The sequence below is a fragment of the Homo sapiens genome, chromosome 12, assembly GCF_000001405.40.
Source record: "Homo sapiens chromosome 12, GRCh38.p14 Primary Assembly".
In the NCBI taxonomy this organism is placed as follows: domain Eukaryota; kingdom Metazoa; phylum Chordata; class Mammalia; order Primates; family Hominidae; genus Homo; species Homo sapiens.
In genome coordinates this window covers 9,896,003-9,913,995 of record NC_000012.12, presented here as the reverse complement: position 1 = coordinate 9,913,995, position 17,993 = coordinate 9,896,003, and the positions used below count along the sequence as shown (strand labels likewise).

The 17,993-nt window shown below is 40.9% G+C and overlaps 1 protein-coding gene across 9 annotated transcripts in view, besides 3 other annotated features; it reads left to right on the top strand.

The window, feature by feature from the left end:
* Nucleotides 1-17,993, top strand: part of CLEC2A (C-type lectin domain family 2 member A) — a 54,629-nt gene that overhangs the window by 18,375 nt on the left and 18,261 nt on the right. For 3 of the 9 annotated variants that reach the window (XM_047428830.1, XM_011520654.3, NM_207375.3), the window contains one exon: nt 15,020-15,320. The exons of 4 other annotated variants lie outside the window; for them this stretch is intronic. In XM_047428830.1, coding sequence (XP_047284786.1) covers nt 15,020-15,092 — 73 coding nt within the window. In that variant the 3' untranslated portion in view covers nt 15,093-15,320. Of the gene's footprint in view, nt 1-315; nt 770-15,019; nt 15,321-17,993 lie in introns of those variants that run through there. 2 more of the 9 variants (XM_047428829.1, NM_001130711.2) reach the window with 1 other exon arrangement.
* Nucleotides 2,627-3,826: an enhancer, noted in NCBI's record as "MED14-independent group 3 enhancer chr12:10062769-10063968 (GRCh37/hg19 assembly coordinates)". NCBI's record gives its function as "activates an origin of replication core promoter dependent on BRD2, BRD4, P300/CBP and CDK7 cofactors, and independent of MED14, by STARR-seq in HCT116 cells {active_cell/tissue: HCT116}" and the evidence as "EXISTENCE:reporter gene assay evidence [ECO:0000049][PMID:35650434]".
* Nucleotides 13,299-13,499: a silencer, noted in NCBI's record as "peak1567 fragment used in MPRA reporter construct". NCBI's record gives its function as "represses an SCP1 promoter by STARR-seq MPRAs in K562 erythroleukemia cells {active_cell/tissue: K562}" and the evidence as "EXISTENCE:reporter gene assay evidence [ECO:0000049][PMID:32103011]".
* Nucleotides 14,322-14,876: an enhancer, noted in NCBI's record as "OCT4-NANOG hESC enhancer chr12:10051719-10052273 (GRCh37/hg19 assembly coordinates)". NCBI's record gives its function as "activates a minimal SCP1, AML or CMV promoter by ChIP-STARR-seq in primed H9 embryonic stem cells {active_cell/tissue: H9 hESC(primed)}" and the evidence as "EXISTENCE:reporter gene assay evidence [ECO:0000049][PMID:30033119]".

Sequence of the window (17,993 nt, the reverse complement as noted above, 5' to 3'; positions counted from 1 at the left end):
GGAAAGAACCAAGGAAGGAAGGAAGAATGGAAGGAAAGAAGGGTTTTACCCCGTCTTTGTATACCTATATGTGTCTATCTGCCTATCTACAAGTTGTTCTAAATAGGGTTACAGATTTTAACTCCAACACTTATGTTCAGTCTTATTTTTCCCTTAATATACCAGATATTTTAATGCAGCATATGGTGATGGGTGGGTATATTTTCTGGGAGCTCAGTGTTTGGTATAATATATTTAAAATCACTCTATTATTAATTGTCTTTTTGATTACAGCCGTAAGTGGTTCCCAGACTGATTTAGAGTGTTCTTTTTCAGGTTTGAAATTATAGGGAACGGATCCTTTGCTTTCTTGAGTGCTGATGGAGTCCATAGTTCCAGAGGATTTATTGATATCAAGTGGATTTGCAGCAAACCTAAATATTTTTTATAGAGCAGAAAAAACTTGAAAATGATTATCACACTTCAAGATTGAAAGAAGAGCTAATTATGCAAAAGTGGCTTTCTCACTTATTCTGTTACAGAATACGGAACCTCTGGTGAGGGCCCATTTTCTAGTTTATAGATGGAAACTTCTTGCTGTGCCCTGCCATGGTTAAAGAGACAAGGCCGTTCTCTGGAGCCTTTTATAAGGGCACAATCACATTTACTATGGCTCCATCCTCATGAACTAATCACCTCCTGATGGATGGCTCCATCCCCTAATACCATCACACTGGTGATTAGCTTTCAATTTATGAGTTTTGGGAGGACCCAAATACTCAGAACATAGCATCTACAAATAATAAACACTGATAAATTATGAGTTATACATAAAAATTATAACATACTATATAGACTAGAGTAATAAATATCAAAGTGACCAAATAGTAGGTTCGTGAAAAAAAAAATGCAATCTCCCAAGTAAGAAAAAGGAAAGAAAATTAATTTGGGGCACATATTTGGATGCTTCATAAAATTTAAATTCTATAGGGCATTCAAAGGTTGTATCAAAGCTGCCTTGTTGCATTAGTGCAGTTTTAATTACCTGCCTGGGTAACTGTGATCTTTCAGAACAAGTAGGAATGTGAGTATAAATGGATAGATAGTAAGAAAAACTAGAGAAAAAAAAGTATCTTGATTACAGTGTGAAAATGAGACAGGCAGGTGGGAAGCAGTGCCCGGGAGAAACTCCCACCAGTCTGCCCACTGAGGTGGAGCCTTGGGAAGTTCACAACTTTTGCAGCAAAGAAGAGCGAGCACGGTCCCTCCTCTTCCTGTGTGGAACCTGAGATTAGAATGGTCAGCAGGAAGTGCTCTAGCAGAGCATCCTGTTTTCCTTTTTTTTTTTTTTGCTTTTCACCCAATAAAACCCAGATTTACTCATCCTCTAAAACATCTGTGAGCATAGATTTTTATGGACATGGGCAGGACAAGAACACCATCTTTAGCTGAACTAAGGAAAAGTCCTGCAACAATTTTGGCACATAACATGGGTGCTCGAGAAGAGGCGAATGAAATGAGGACTCGAAACCTCTCACTGTCGCTCCTATTTTCATCCTCCAGCTTCTGAGGGTGGGGGAAACATGCCCCCAAACCCTGTCACTCTAAGGGTCAGGGGAAAGGCCATTTTCTTCCTTTTTCAAGAGGGACAGGCAAGTGGGGTCTCCTCACTCTGCCTCCCCTCCATGCAGGGGTTGGGACTCACGGCCTAAGGGTCCTGCAGAGCCAGCTGGCTGGCTCCCAGCCATAAGCCACCACAGCCTTCCCCTTCCCCACCCAAGGGCTTCAGCTTTATTGGATGAAAATTAAGCTTTTCCCCTGGTGGAGCATCCACTTTCATAAGAATAAGAGGTTCTTCCCCAGGCATTTTAAACTGATTTTTTTATCCCCTTCTTCTACCCCATCAGCAGTTAACCTTTACATTTTTTTTTCCTTTTAGAGGACATTTTTACAAGGCCAGGCCCCCCAACTATCACTGTTTGTACTCTCTAAAGTTTTTGTTGTGAAAAAGGATTTGTGGGGCTAGTCTTGGGCTATAGCCAATCTGGTGTGCTTTGCATGTCTGTATGGTTTGTGTTGCAGGCCTCCATCTTGCTTTACATCCTGGGGGCATGGCCAGTAACTGCATGACAAGGCTTTGTTTAGCAGCCCTGCCTTAGGTGATGAGATATCTAACCCTATCAGGTTAGATATCTACATGTTCTCCTAGCCCTGTCTCTTAAAAAAAATGGGCCCAGGGACTGGGTTTTCTTCTGCCTGTCTGTGTGTATACTGTGTGTGATGTTTACAAAAAGAGCTCTAATTAATTTGTCCTAAAGAAAAGTGCTTGGATCAAGTATTTTTTTAAGGGGAAGATAAAAGCTGTGGTACTTTCAGTTCACATGACTTTAATCTTTGAGAAATAAAAACAGCCTTAAAAATTATTGGTAAAATGCAGGTGTCACTAAAATGTAAATAGGTGAGCTAAATTATGCAGGTTGGAGTCAAGGTTTGCTAAATGTTTTAAGGTTATAAACTACTTTTGGGGTTTTGAGAATTCTTGGACTTGCTGGCTTCACAACTGGTAAGGTCTGGCAACATATGGAACTAATCACACCATTAATTCATGCCAGAGAGGATAAATTCCTCTTCAAAGGGCTTAATTGTGCAATGTCCTTGTTCTTTGCTCAGAGGCTCAACCTTCTTGTACTCTCTTCTTTCTAGCCTGCAAACAGCCCTCCTGCTCTTGCTGTGCCCTGACATGCCTAGACATGTCAGCCTCACTCTACATTCCTTTCCTTATTTGGAAAAAGTTTAGCCTTATTCTCCACAGGTGGCCCTCTTCTCTTCCCTCCTTCTCCCCCATCACTCATCTACCTTACATAGAAGGTTTAAGTGTTTAGCCAATCAGGACTAGTTTAGGTTGTGTGGTCTTGACTCCAGCCAATGGGGAACTACACAGAAGCAGGGACCGTGTTAGGAATAAAAACTCTTACCCTCCTTTGTTCAGTGTGCTGCATGGCTGATGCAGGCAGCACCCTTCTGCAGAAGTAAATTGCCTTGCTGAGAAATCCTTTGTCTCAGTGCTGGTTCTTCTTTGCAGCACAGAGCACTTGTTTCTAACAATCATAGGGGCTCATCAGGGATACCCTTTCTCCTCTGGGGAAGGGTCCCAGATCATCTCCCATGAGGAGATGCGTCACACTCTCTCGTTGCGTTGGCCTCAGAGGGAAAGGGATCAGGACCTCCCCCAGCATGACGAATAAACCCACACTCTCAGCAACGTGGGTGGAAAGGATTCTTACCTACCTACCACGGCAACCAGGTAACTCTATGCACAGGACAAGGTAAGAAATGTTGCAGGGGCAATAAAGTATTTCCTTGGAGGTCGGGATATCTTGGAGGTTGAAAGTGTGTGAATGGTAACGAGCACTACTACTGTGCTGAGTGAGTACAAAACAAAAGGAGAAGATTGCAAGAAACATCCAGTAAAAGGGGAGCTAAGCTTCTAGGAGAAGAAAGGCAAGAAATCTCTAGTAGGAGAGATTGAGACTCACACACAGCTTCTAGAAGAAGGGAGGGCAAGAAATCTCTAGTAGGAGAGGTTGAGCCCCCACACACCCAGAAGCATTAGAAACCTCCAATAGAGGGGAGGTTGAAAACTCCAGGGAAAAAGCCTGCTCCAGTTAGACACCATACCAAACCTCCAAGATGGGAAATGTTTCAAATAAGACAGGGAAAATAAAGAGCCAGGCAGATGATGAAATTCCTCCTGATAGTTGCCTAGGGATTATGCTAAAATATTGGTAAGATAATAAAAGAACCAAACATAAAAGAAAGCAGCAAATGATAAAGTATTTTTGCTTCATTTGGGCTCGAGAGCCAATCCTCAAACCCTCAATTTTCTGGCCAAAATTTGGGTCCAGTGAAGAATGGATTTGTTAACTTTTAATGGAACATATTAATGACAAAAGCCCTGTGTCTCTGGAGGATATAGAGTATGCTCTTTGTTGGAGGCAAGGACCTGTCCTCCTTTACCCTCTAAAAATCAGAGGGAGCAAGCTAGAATCTTACTGCTCTGAAAGAGAAAAGGTCCCTATTCCTAGACAGCCCATCAACACATGGGATCCCCTAGACCATCTTCCTCCACTCAATACCCCCAATTCTCCCCCTCAAGCAGCTGTTGCCACCTCAGACCCCACTCCAGATCCCTCCCCTGCTCACATTGTTCCCCACCCCTTACAACCCCAATTCTTGGGAATTATCATCCCATGAGCCAGCTCCTTACCAGCCTAAATACTCTTCTCTAAAAGGACTCCAACGTGAGGTAGAGCAATGTAAAAAGGATATTCAAAACTTCCCTTTATCCCCTATCCCTGGGGAATCAGCTCTGACTCTCTGCCCCTTAAAAGAGGTGCTGCAGGGAGGGGGTGCCATCAGCTTCATAAATGCTCCTCTAACCAGTTCAGAAGTTCCAGGCTTTAAAAAAGAACTCAAGCCGCTGTGAGATGACCCTCATCGAGTGGCAGATCAGGTCGGTGATCAATTTCTAGGACCCCAGTTATATACTTGGGCTGAGTTAATGCCCATCCTGGGCATCCTGTTTTCAGGGAGAGAAAGGGGCATGATCCTTAGGGCCACTATGGTAGTTTGAGAACATGAACACCCCCCAGTTAAAACGTTTCTACAGCAGACGAGGAATTCCGTGCCCAAGATCCCTGGTGGGACAATAACAACATAGCTCACTGGAAAAACCTGCAAGACCTGAGGGAGATGATGATAAAAAGAACTCAAGAATAAGTACCCTGGACTCAGACTCTGTCTCAGACACTCAGCACACAACAGGGGAAGGATGAAGAGCCTATAGAATTCTTAAACAGATTAAAGGAGCAAATGAAAAAATAAGCAGGCCTAGATTTATAAGATCCCCTAGGACAAGGAATGTTAAAGCTTCATTTTTTTACTAATAGTTGGGCAGACATTTCCAAGAAATTACAAAAGATAGAGGATTGGAAAGATCATCCTCTAAGTGAATTTCTCAGAGAAACTCAAAAGGTATATGTGAGAAGATACGAAGAAAAGCAAAAAGTGAAAGCAAAATTCATGCTATCCACCTATCAACAGGGGGCTCCAAATCAATACATTTCTAAACAAAGCCCCCAGGGGGCCAAAATCTATAAATGACCCAAACCTCCATTTAGAGGCTTCAAGCCCCCTATTAAAGGATCCGGGACCTCATTTGCCAGACCCTATAAAGAACACAGGGGGGCCAAGCCAAAGAATCCCAAAACAGAGAAAAGACAGAATAGATGTTTTAAATGTGGAAGAACAGGTCTCTTTAAGAGGGAATGTCCCGCATGGGAAAAATAAAAAGAAGTCCTTCCACTCATGACTTTTGAGGAAGAATAGGGGGGGCCAGGGGCTCTGTCTCTTTTATCTCAAGTCCCACCAAGAGCCCTTGATAAACTTAGAGGTGGGACCCAAATATGAACTCATAACGTTTTTAGTAGATTCAGGAGCAGCCCGCTCCTCTGTTTCCCTCCATCTGATATCACCTGCTCCTCAGAACTTTCTGTCTCAGGGGTAAAGGGAGAAGGATTTAAAGCTAAAATCTTAGAAGAAACAGAAGTCAGTATAAAAACCGATCAACTCATATGAAGCTTCTATTAATCCTGGAAGCAGAAATTAACCTGTTAGGAAGGGACTTAATGCTAGAACTAAGCATCAGCTTACATGTTGGCCCAGAGGGATTCCTCACCTCACTAAACCTACTTACCAGTGTGGGTGAAAGACACATCCATCCTGATGTCTGGTCAAGAGAAGAAAATCAAGGAAGACCTCAAGTCCTTCCAAAACACATAAAGCTGAAAACTGCTGGGGAGGTAGTAAGAAGAAAACAATATCCCATTCCCCTAGAAGGCAGAATAAGCTTGAGGCCCGTAATTTAAAGCGTCATTCAAGACGGGCTTCTTGAACCCTGCATGTCCTCTTTTAACACCCCAATACTGCCTGTAAAGAAATCAGACAGGTCATACCGACTAGCACAAGACCTCAGAGCTGTCAACCAATTAGTCCAGATGACTTATCCTTTTGTCCCTAACCCTTACACCATCCTCAGCAAAATCCCACGTGACCATCAATGGTTTACAGTAATACACTTAAAAGATACCTTTTGGGCCTGTCCTTTGGCTGAGGACAGTCGGGACATATTTGCTTTCGAATGGGAAGATCCTTATTCTGGACAGAAACAACAGTACTGATGGATAGTTTTGCCCCAAGGGTTCACAGATTCCCCTAGCCTTTTTGGCCAAATTTAGAACAGGTTTCAGAATAAATTCATACCCCAAAACACATATGTCTGCTCCAATATGTGGATGATCTTCTCATATCTGGTGAAAATGTAGAGAAAGTAGCTGCCTTCTCTACACACCTTCTTAACCATTTACAAGGGGAAGGACTATGAGTTTCAAAAGGAAAACTCAAGTTTGTAGAACGTGAAGTTACATATTTAGGGCACTTAATAAGTAAAGGCAAATGAAGGATGGGACCCGAACAAGTAGAAGGAATCAGATCCTTACCTTTGCCTCAAACTAAGCAGAAGCTCCAAAAATGTTTAGGATTAGTTGGATATTGCTGCTTATGGATTCATTCATATGCTCTAAAAACTAAACTTTTATACCAAAAATTTACCCAGTGGAAACCTGACCATCTTCTGTGGACTTCTGAAGAAATTCATCAAATTGAAGAATTAAAACATATGCTTATAACTGCCCCTGTTCTAGCTTTACCCTCCCTAGAAAAACCATTCCACCTTTTTGTTAACATGAATAATGGGGTGGCTTTAGGGGTACTTACCCAGGAACACGGAAGCCACAGGCAGCCTGTAGCCTTCCTGTCAAAGGTTTTAAACCTAGTACAAGTGGGTGGCCTGAATGCATTCAGTCTATCACAGCAACCACATTACTGACTGAAGAAAGCAGGAAGTTAACCTTTGGGGGAAAATTAGTGGTAAGCTTACCCCATCAAGTTAGAACTATCTTAAACCAAAAGGCAGGGAGGTGACTCACTGACTCAAGCATCTTAAAATGCGAAGCTATTCTAATAGAAAGAAATGATTTAACACTAACCACTGATAACTCACTCAACCCAGCAGGTTTCTTAACAGGGTATCCAAACCTAAAAAGAGAACACATATGTTTAGATTTAATGAACTACCACACAAAAGTCAGACCAGATTTAGAAGACACACCTTTCAAAACTGGGTGGTATTTGTTTATAGATGGCTCCTCCCAGGTAATTGAGGGAAAAAGACATAATGGGTATTCAATAATAGATGGAGAAGCTTTAGTAGAAATCGGGTCAGGAAGATTGGCTAATAATTGGTCTGCCCAAACTTGTGAACTGCTTGCATTAAGCCAGGCTTTAAAATGCTTGCAAAACCAGGAAGGGACCATTTATACTGATTCTAAGTACTCCTTTGAGGTAGCTCATACCTTCGGGAAGATTTGGACTGAACGAGGTCTTATTAACCGCAAAGGCCAAGATCTCATCCACAAAGAGTTAATCACCCAAGTACTAAATACTCTCCAGTTACCCAAAGAGATAGCTATTGTCCATGTTCCAGGACAGCAAAAAGGCTTTTCCTTTGAAAGTCAGAAAAATAACCTTGCAGATCAGGTAGCCAAACAGGCTGCTATTTCCTCTGAAGTGCTTGTTTTTCACTTAACCCCTTGTCTTCCTCCCCCTATTGCAGTCCCCATTATCTCTCCCAATGAAAAGGAAAAATTAATCAAAATATGAGCTACAGAAAACCAAGAAGGAAAATGGGTATTACCAGATCAAAGGGAAATATTATCGAAACCCCTCATGAGGGAAATCTTGTCTCAGCTGCATCAAGGGGCCCACTGGGGACCCCAAACTATGTGTGACACAGCAGTTTATGGGTGTATAGGAATTTATACCCTAGCCAAACAAGTTAGAGATAGCTGTCTAATATGTAAAAAAAAAAAAAACAAAACTAATAAGTGGGCTCCAAGAAAATCACCACTTGGGGGAAGAAATCCAGGACTAACACCATTTCAAAGTGTTCAAGTTGATCACACAGAAATGTCTCCAATCGGTTGCCTGAAATACCTATTAGTAATAGTGGATCACCTCATTTACCGGGTAGAAGCTATTCCCTTTTCAAATGTGACTGCTAATAATGTAGTTAAGGCATTAACTGAAAATATTATACCTAAGCTTGGATTAATAGAAAATGTTGAGTCAGATAATGGGACTCATTTCACTGTACATGTTTTGAAAAAGCCCAAGTATTAGAAATAAAATGGGAATACCATACCCCCTGGCACCCATCTTTATCAGGAAGAGTAGAAAGAATGAACCAGACTCCGAAGAACCACCTAACCAAATTAGTCCTAGAGACTTGGTTCCCATGGACTAAATGCCTCCCCATTGCCTTGTTATGAAACTGAACTGCCCATCAAAAATATATTGGCTTATCTCCTTATGAAATACTATATGGGTTGCCTTATTTACACTCCACTGCTGATATTCCTATGTTTGAAACTAAAGACCAATTCCTCAAAAGCTATGTACGTGGACTGTCTTCCACTTTCTCTTGTCTCTGAACTAAAGGCCTATTAGCACAGACGCCACCCTTGGTGTTCCCTGCACATCAGCACCAGCCTAGGGATCACGTTCTCATCAAAAGCTGGAAAGAAGGAAAACTTGAACCAGCTTAGGAAGGACCCTACCTAGTGCTCCTGATTATAGAAAGCACCGCACAGCTGAAAGGAGATGGACACACCACATGTGAGTGAAAGGAGACACTTCCACAATCAGAGAAAAATGGGCCGTTATCCTACGGCCTACCCTCACCAAACTAACTCTAAAAAGGGCTTAATAATCACTTGTTTATTTTCCCTTTTCTTTCCAGCAGAAAGTCACCTCGTCATCAATGTGACTCAAACTAATCATCCCTTAACCCTCGAGTTTGATGCTTGTTCAGTTATCTCATGTGGAGATGAACAAGCTCAAAGGCAGCTATCAAATGTAGATAAGTATTTATGTCCATACCGTATTGAGTCAACCAAGTATAAGTATGGAGCCTTAAAAAGTCCCTGTGGTGACTGGACAGATGTTTGGCAGACCACCCAACATGGACGGTGGACAGCCAGGCCCCCTTTTTCAAAGTAGTTGCAAGGACTAAAACAGAAACTCCAACTTATTCATGGTCCCACCCCACCAAATTGTAAGTCATTGCAGTGTAACCCCTTATTGCTAATTATAGATAATCTCCAAACAATGGCCCAAGAACCCTCCATATTTGAATGGTATTGGTTAGGAGCAAATGTTACAGGACGAGACCCCATAGGAATCTTCTCTCTGAGGTTAGCTAGAGCATCAGCTAAGAACAATAAAGAAATCCAGACCCAGAGTCTGGAGAACATGTGGGACCCAACACTGTGCCCAAACATATCAGGCTCAGCGCTCTCCTCCCATCTCTAGAACCACCCAACTAAGGTAATGGTTGTAGAGGTAAAAGATTTAAGGCAGACCATAGCTCTAGAGATGGGGTACAAAGATGCAAATGCCTGGCTGGAAAGGATTAAATATTCCATCTGCAGTCTAAACAAAAACGATTGTTACACTTGCGTGCACTGCAGGCCAGAGGCCTAAATCATCCCGTTTCCACTCGTATGGTCCTCCAGCCGACCAGGCACAAATTGTAAGGTAGCTCTCTCCCAACACCCCACAGCCTGGGGTCATGAATCATGCGGAGCTCTCTCTCTGCTATTCCCCAAAGTCCAGCACCCTGTGGGTCAGTCCCCGAGGTCCATCCAGCTTCCATCTCCTGATGCCAGTTTTACCTTGTGTCTCTCATGACAGAGAGAAAACTTAGCATTTCTGGGAGACCTAAAGGGATGCAGTGAGCTTAAGTCATTCCAAGAGCTAACCAATCAGTCTGCCCTGATCCATTGCCAAGTGGATGTATGGTAGTATTGTGACGGACCATTGCTGAACACTTTGCCAAGTAGCTGGAGCAGAGCAGCACTTGCACTCTGATCCAACTGGCCATCCCTTTCACCCTGGCATTTCATTAACCAAAAAGGATAAAAACAAAGCATCATAAAACAAGAGATGTCCCTCATGGGTCCTTTGACCCTCATGTTTATATAGATGCCATTGGAGTCCCGAGAGGAGTCCCAGATGAATTTAAGTCCCAAAATCAAATAATTGCTGGGTTTGAGTCCCTACTATTCTGGTGGTTAACTATAAATAAAAATGTAAATTGGATAAATTACATCTATTACAACCAGCAACAATTTGTTAACTATACTAAAGATGCTATTAAATGAACAGCTAAACAGTTAGGACCCACCAGCCAAATGGCTTGGGAAAATAGAATAACATTAGATATGATACTAGCAGATAAGGGTGAGGTCTGTGTCATGATTGGAACTCAATATTCTACTTTTATACCTAATAATACTGCTTCCAGTGGAACCATAACAAAAGCATCACAATGTCTTCCTGTTTTATCCAATGAACTAGCTAAGAATTCAGGAATAAATGATCCCTTCACTAATTTAATGGAAAAATGTTTCAGCAGATGGGAAGGACTTATGTCCTCAATCCTTACTTCTTTTGCTGTTATAATAGGTGTGCTTATTCTTGTAGGATATTATATTGTATTCTGTGCCCGAGGCCTAGTACAAAGGCTTATAGAAACAGCTCTCACAAAAACCTCCCCTACATCTCCTTCTCCATATTCTTATTCCTAGGTGATCAAGAAGAACAGCAAAGCCAAATTATGTTAGAAAAATTTGAAGAGGAGGAATTATTAAAAAAAAAAACAAAGAGGGAAATTGCCAGAGATTATAAATTCCTCTTCAAAGGGTTTAATTGTGTAATGTCCTTGTTCTTTGTTCAGAGGCCAAAACTTCTTGTACTCTCTTGCTTCTATCCTGCAAACAGCCCTCCTGTTCTTGCTGTGCCCTGACACACCCAGACATGTCTCAGCCTCACTCTACATTCCTTTCCTTATTCAGAAAAAGTTTAGCCTTCTCGTGCTCCACAGGCAGACCTCTTCCCTTCCCTCCTTCTCCCCCAACACGTGTCTACCTTATATAGAAAGTTTAAGTGTTTAGCCAACTGGGACTAATTTAGGTTGTGTGGTCTAACTCCAGCCAATGGGGAATGATACAGAAGCAGGGACTGCATTAGGAATAAAAACCCTTACTCTCCTTTGTTCAGTGTGCTCTTGCGATGGTGGCTGATGCAGGCAACACCTTTCTACAGAAGTAAATTGCCTTGCTGAGAAATCCTTTGTCTCAATGCTGGTTCTTCTTTGTGGCACTGAGCACTTGTTTCTTTCTTTTTTTTTTTTTCTTTCAAGATTTATTGCAAAGAGCGAAAGAACAAAGCTTCCACAGTGTGGAAGGGGACCCGAGCGGGTTGCCCGGCACTGAGCACTTGTTTCTAACATTAAAAAGGCAAACCAGCTGGGCGCAGTGGCTCACATCTATAATCCCAGCACTTTGGGAGGCCGAGGTGGGTGGCTCACTTGAGGTTAGGAGTTCAAGACCAGCCTGGCCAACATGATGAAACCTCGTTTCTACTACAAATTCAAAAATTAACCAGGCGCAATGGTGCACACCTGTAATTCCAGCTACTTGGGGGCTGAGGCAGGAGAATTGCTTGAACCCAGGAGGCAGAGGTTGCAGTCAGCCGAGATTGTGTGACTACACTCCAGCCTGGGCGACAGAGTAAGACTAAATCTCAAAAAAAAAAAAAAAAAATGGCAAACCTTGGCTACACTTAGCACTCAATTAAAGTAACTTACCAGGTTTTACCTTAAAGTTAAAAATTGCTAGGCATTAGTGGAAACTACTGAAAATAGATTTACAAGCAAGGTATGTAAGAACAGTAAAATGTGTTTTTGTTTGCAAAAGGTTATAAGAAGGCATGGAAATGTAAACTTTGGCCTCGGGATAAAGGATTGTTTTGAGATAAAATAGGAAAAAGCTGAAGGTTCAAGGAAGTGGTGGAAGAATTGTGAAAATTAATTTTGCAGAAGAGGTTCTCTTTGTGAACATATTGGCCACATTCAAGAAGGATATTATATGATTTTTCTGTAAATTGAGCATTGAAATAAAATCATAACAAGGTTTTCCTATGGTGCTAATCTGCTCTTTGGCAAAATTTGTAAAGGGTTATAAAAGGTTTTTGCTTCTTTAAAATTTCTGAGTCATCATTTTGGCAAAATAAATAATTTATGGTAATCTGGAATTCTATTTCATATTATCAGTGTTTTAAATCTTGAACATATTTGACAGCCTTCCCAAAATCAAAATTCAGTTTCCAAGTAGGCTTCCCTGGCACCTGGCTTTTCTAATACTTCAGAGGGCCCCTACAGTGTCCAGAAAAATGAAGTAAACAGGATTATTTGACATGTTTAGGTACATGGGATTGCCAAAATGTTGTTCAATCTTTTTTAGGTTATATCTTGGTGAATAAAGCTAATGTATGCTCTAAAATTGTATGGGATTTCTATAATTCTAATGTCTGAGTGTATGCTATCACTCATAATTAAAGTTGTTATGTTAGGTTAATGTAAACCACGGAAATAACCAAACTTCTTTGTCAATTGTGTTTCTAAGTGTAACTACCCTGGACATTTTGCTATTCACAGACAATTGTTGTCTTGTTTTAATCCTTTTCAAAGATGGTTTATAATAAGCTATAGAACTTTGACAAGTGCTCTTAAATACAGATCTCTGATAACTTTAGAGATTGTGACATTGGAATAAAGAAAACTGTACAGGGGTCATGAAGAGCTGAAATGTTCACGAATGTCAAGCAAAACATGAGTTAACTAAATAAACTGAACTCAGAAAGCTGAAGCAACCTTTTTAACCTTTGCTTGGAATATTATTGATCCTTGTTTTGTTTTGCAGAGTCAACATTATTTTGAATTATTTACGGCCTTTAATAATTAAATAAGGTGTATACTCCTGTAATCAAGACCTGGAGCATGTTTTTTTTTCTCTCTGCCTGGTTCCTCTAGAATTTGGAAACTATCTGTGAGTGTTCTTAACTTATGGCAATATGGTTGTTTGCATCAGTGCAATAAGAATCCATTTTTCTTTTGCAACAGGACACAATTGGAGAAAGTGTTTATTTTACCAACACTTTGACTGGAAGGGTAAGCTTGCCTTTAAGGAGTCAATCTCGACTTGCAGAGCCAATAAAAGTCCAGTGGGGAAACTGGCCTCATACCCTTGTTTATTCAGTCCCTGTACAGGGTTCCTGACCTGTGGTCAGTAAAGAATGTCACTTTCTAACAGGTCTAGAAGCTCCAAGTTTATCCTGGGACCTTAAGAAGGGAGGATCACCCAACTCACAGGGTTTTGAGGATGCAAACCCATGACTGGGCTGGGCTTTAAAAGGTCTTATCTGAGAGTCCTTGTGGAACAAATTTCCATCAAAGCCAACCCAAAAAGCCTATGTAGAAATAGTTATTCTTGCTGCACTTTATGCAAACAATCAGGCCAAGCATAAAACTAAAGTCTATTTTGGAAAAAACTCAGTCTTAGGATGATTTTTTTTTTAACAAAAATGAGGACTGCAGAGAGAGAACTAGATTTCAAAGCTTATACATTTGTTATTAAATTCTAAGATCACTCGTTGTTTTGAAGTTTTTGCTTACATCTTAGACTAATCCTGCATGTTCTTGTGAAGCAACCAGCAATGTCTGGCTTCAGGTCAGAAAGAACAAGAGGGATGGGTAACGTGAAAATCTGGATCAATGTTATAGTTTTGAGCAATTATCCTGCAAATCCTGCCAAGTGATGGGAATAAATAGGGTGCCCATCAACGGAAGGTTTCTTTTGTGGGAAAGTAAGACAAAGGGAGCTAACCAAAGCCAAGCAGCATGCACCCAAATCCTAGCAACATAACTGTAGCCACCAGTTAGCTGGGTATGTCACAAGACATTCTTTCCTCTCCCTTATTGGAGGAGGACTCAGTTCCACACTTTCACCTTAGCATTTAACTTATGATAAGGAGTCCATGCAACTCCTCTGAGACATGTTTTTGTCCTAGACTCAATTCCAAGCTTCAGGTCAAAGCCCTAGGAAAGAAAACTGGATCTGAGGGATCCAGAGGCAGATGATAGTGGAAGTTAAGAGGCAGAATGCAGGTGAGTGTGGCTGGTTCCTGCTGATTAAGGCAACCCCAAGCTTCCTGGTTCATGGATAAAGGCCACATTGATATCCATGGCATAAATGAGGTCTAGGGAACTCCAAGGCTACTGACAGTAGGTGGGAAAGAGACATAGGTTAGAGTGGACATTTCCTATTCTCTAGCCTCCCCTGCTTCAGGGGTGAAAGCCGCTTTGGCACTCTTGGCAGGACCTGCCAATGTCACCGGGACTCAGGGATGCAAAGATGGAAGAGGGAAAAAGGTTGCTCTTCCCTCTCTCCCTCACATACCCTGGGTATCTGCTAGGAAGAGAAGGGAGTCAGGGACACCTGCTCCCCTCTTTCTCAATGGCAAGCCATTCAACTTCAGTCTGTGCCCCTTTCAAATGCATCCTGGACCCCTGGGACTCCTTTAAAAATGCCTTCTTTTTCCTTTCTTCTCCTCTGTTCTCTCTTCACAGTCAGGTAATTGTGTCTCCATACTACGGGATACTCCTCACAGTTAGGTAATTGTGTCTCCATACTATGAGATACTCCTCTCAGTTAGGTAATTGTATCTCTGTACTATGGGACACTCCCCTCAGATACATCCTTTAAAGTGGAAAAGGTTAATTTCCCAAACGTTAAACTAGTAGTTTTAGGATTGGGCTCAGGGGAAGGGAACCCAGGAGCCCAACATGCCTGCAAAAGGGTAATTTTTTTTTTTTTTTACTAGTAGGGCTTTTCGCCTGCCTCTCCCTGTGCAAACTGATAAAAGGCCTTGGAATTTTCGAGCCATTCTTACTCCTCCCCTTGTTTTGTTTCGTTTTGATATATGTTTTCTAATAATCCGGTTTGTCTGTTCTTGCTTTCAGGCCATCAAACTCCAAATGGTCTTGCAACTGGAGCCTCCGACAATGGCTTCTTCTGCTGGGACCCCTTAGATAGGCCTCTGAGGGAGCTCTGACTGCCGTTTCCCCAAAACAATGTCCCCTGTCAGCAGGAAGCAGTTAAATCTGTCTTCATCCTTATCCTTAATATAACGGCAGTTAGATGTACTTCTTTAGAGGGAGTAAATTTATCAATTCAGAGCAATTCATCCTCCTCTTTCCATCTTTGATTCACAGTTAATAGGCTATAAATTTTGATAATGTAGAATAAACTACAGAAAACTTCTTGAAGGAGTTAATTGCCTCATTTACATAGTGGACATAGCTGTTCCATTTATTATGAAATGTTTTAAATAAATTCTTACCAACATGCCAGGGGTTTGGTCTAGGTCCTGCTGCTCACCACACAGAATGCCAATCACTGAGATGAGTTTTGCCAGGAAAGAAGGCAATTGGGTGCAGTAGTCAAGGAGAGTGGGAGGTAAAGTTTCACACCTGTCTCCTTGACAAACTAAAATTGGGGTTTACATACCAGGGAAGGCAGGAAAAAAATACTAGGAAGAAGTAAGAAAGCAATGGATGAGGGGTCTGGCATATGATTGGATGTGGTGATCTGATGAGTTTCTGTTCCTCACTTGAGGGTCAGTTTCCCGAGGAAGGATCTCAGATAAGACAAATGTGAGTTTCACTTTTGAGGACCAGGAGGGTCAATTTCTATGTTTATTCAAAAAAGTCATGAATATCAGTTCTATGAGGAAATTGGGCTGGTTTCAAAATGAGAGGAAAAGTAAACTTTATATAGAATTTCATTTAGAAAAATAAAGTAGTTGGATTAACTATGTTTGATAAAAAGGGAATGAACTATGGCATCACATGAAAAACAAGCCACATGGCAAATTCCTTCAAATACTCATTTTATGCTTACAGCATTTTAGTACTTTATTGCCAGCTGTAAGTTTGATTTCTTTTTAATGAAAATTGAGAACACTTAATTTGGAGGAAATGCCATGAAAGAAATGCCATAACTATAGCCATGTGCCTGGTCTATTTTCCACCAAATGCTTAGAAAGAGTTAAAATCCAAGGAATAGAAAACGTGTATGATAGATGCAGTAGGCAGATAAGGGCAGATCCCCAGAGAATCTCTGACCCACCCCAAAAGTGTTTACATCAGATGCTTTTGTGCAGATGAGGGAAACTACCCAAGGCCTTGTCTGGTCATGCCCACAATGGACCGGGGGCCTGCTTGCACATTGGGAGAATGGGGTAGAGCCACCGAGAATTCAAAGCTTATGCGGGCAGGAGGAGCCTGGCCTCTTCAGCTTGTGTGTGTGATCGCCTGGTATTCAATCTGTGAGGTGGCACTGTTGGCAGGATGTCTCCCCTGGCTTTTTTTTTTTTTATACTGAGCGTTTTCTTTTGATAAATTCTGCTCTCCTCACTTTTCAATGTGTCCACGTGCCTAATTTTTCCTGGTCGTGTGACAAGAACCTGGATTTCAGCTGAACTAAGGAGCAAAAGATCCTGCATCACATACGCAGAAAAAGAGGCAGAATTAGATTAAATTTAATCTTTAATATACTGAAAAAATAGGGTTTTGTGTTTTTCTGTTAAAAATAAAACCCACAGAAACAGAGAATAGCATGCTAGTTTCCAGGGGGTAGAGGGAAAGGGAAATGGGAAATTGCTGCTGAAAGCACAGAAAGTTTCATTTACGCAAGGTGAATAAGTTCTAGAGATCTCTTCTACAACATAGTACCTACTATTAACAATTTAGTAATGCACACTTTAAAATAATTGAGAGGCTAGACACGGTGGCTCATGCCTGTAATCCCAGCACTTTGGGAGGCTGAGGCGGGTGGATCACTTGAGGTCAGGAGTTCGAGACCAGCCTGGCCAACATGGTGAAACCTCGTCTCTACTAAAAATACAAAAATTAGCTGGGCATGGTGGTGCATGCCTGTAATCCCAGCTACTCAAGAGGCTGAGTCACAAGAATCACTTAAACCTGGGAGGCGGAGGTTGCAGTGAGCCAAGATTGCACCACTGCACTCCAACCTGGGCAACAGAGTGAGACTCCGTCTCAAAAAAAAAAAAAAAAAAATTAAGAGACTGTATCTCGTGTTGTGTTCTGATAAAAATAAAAGCAGATAGACACAAAAGAACATAAGGACATATTTGGAGGTGATGGATACATTTAGTACCTTAGCTGTGGTGATGGCATCTCAAGTGTACACAAACTCACCAGAAAGTAAAAATTAAGTATGTGCAATATTTTGTATATCAGTTTGACCTCAATAAAGCTTTAAAGAATAAAGACATGTATTAAAAATAAAAACAAGTTATTGTAGTTTTTTCATTTAGAAGCATTACATTAAAATTTTATATTTGGATAGGAAAAGAAATAAATTTGTATTTCACTAAAGAAAAAGAATAGGCAGTGTTAACATCCGTACATATTTCTTTCAATTCTTAATTTACATGCACGGATTTGCTTTTTTTTTTTGTTTTGAATATTTGGCCACATGACTTTATTTTATTTTATTTGAATACATTTAAAGGGTACAAGCATAATTTTGTTACATGGATATATCACAAAGTGGAGAAGTCTGAGCTTTTAGTTTATCCATCACCTAAATATTGTACATTATACCCAGTAGGTAATTTCTCATTACCCACTCCCCACCAAACACTTCAGGCTATAATACACAGATGAAAAATTCAGAATTCCATGCTTCAAATATTATATTTGTACATATACTGCTTCTTTCCTTCCAATCTACCACATAGCACATATAGCTAAATAACATTCCTTTAAAGTTGTTTTATTCTATGCTATTTTAAATGCAAAAAAATCAAACTATTAAATAACTATTAAAATAATTACTAATTTTTTATTTAGCTTTTCTTGTCAATGCCATGGAAAAGACAAACCAGAAATCCAAGTATAGAGTAAAAGT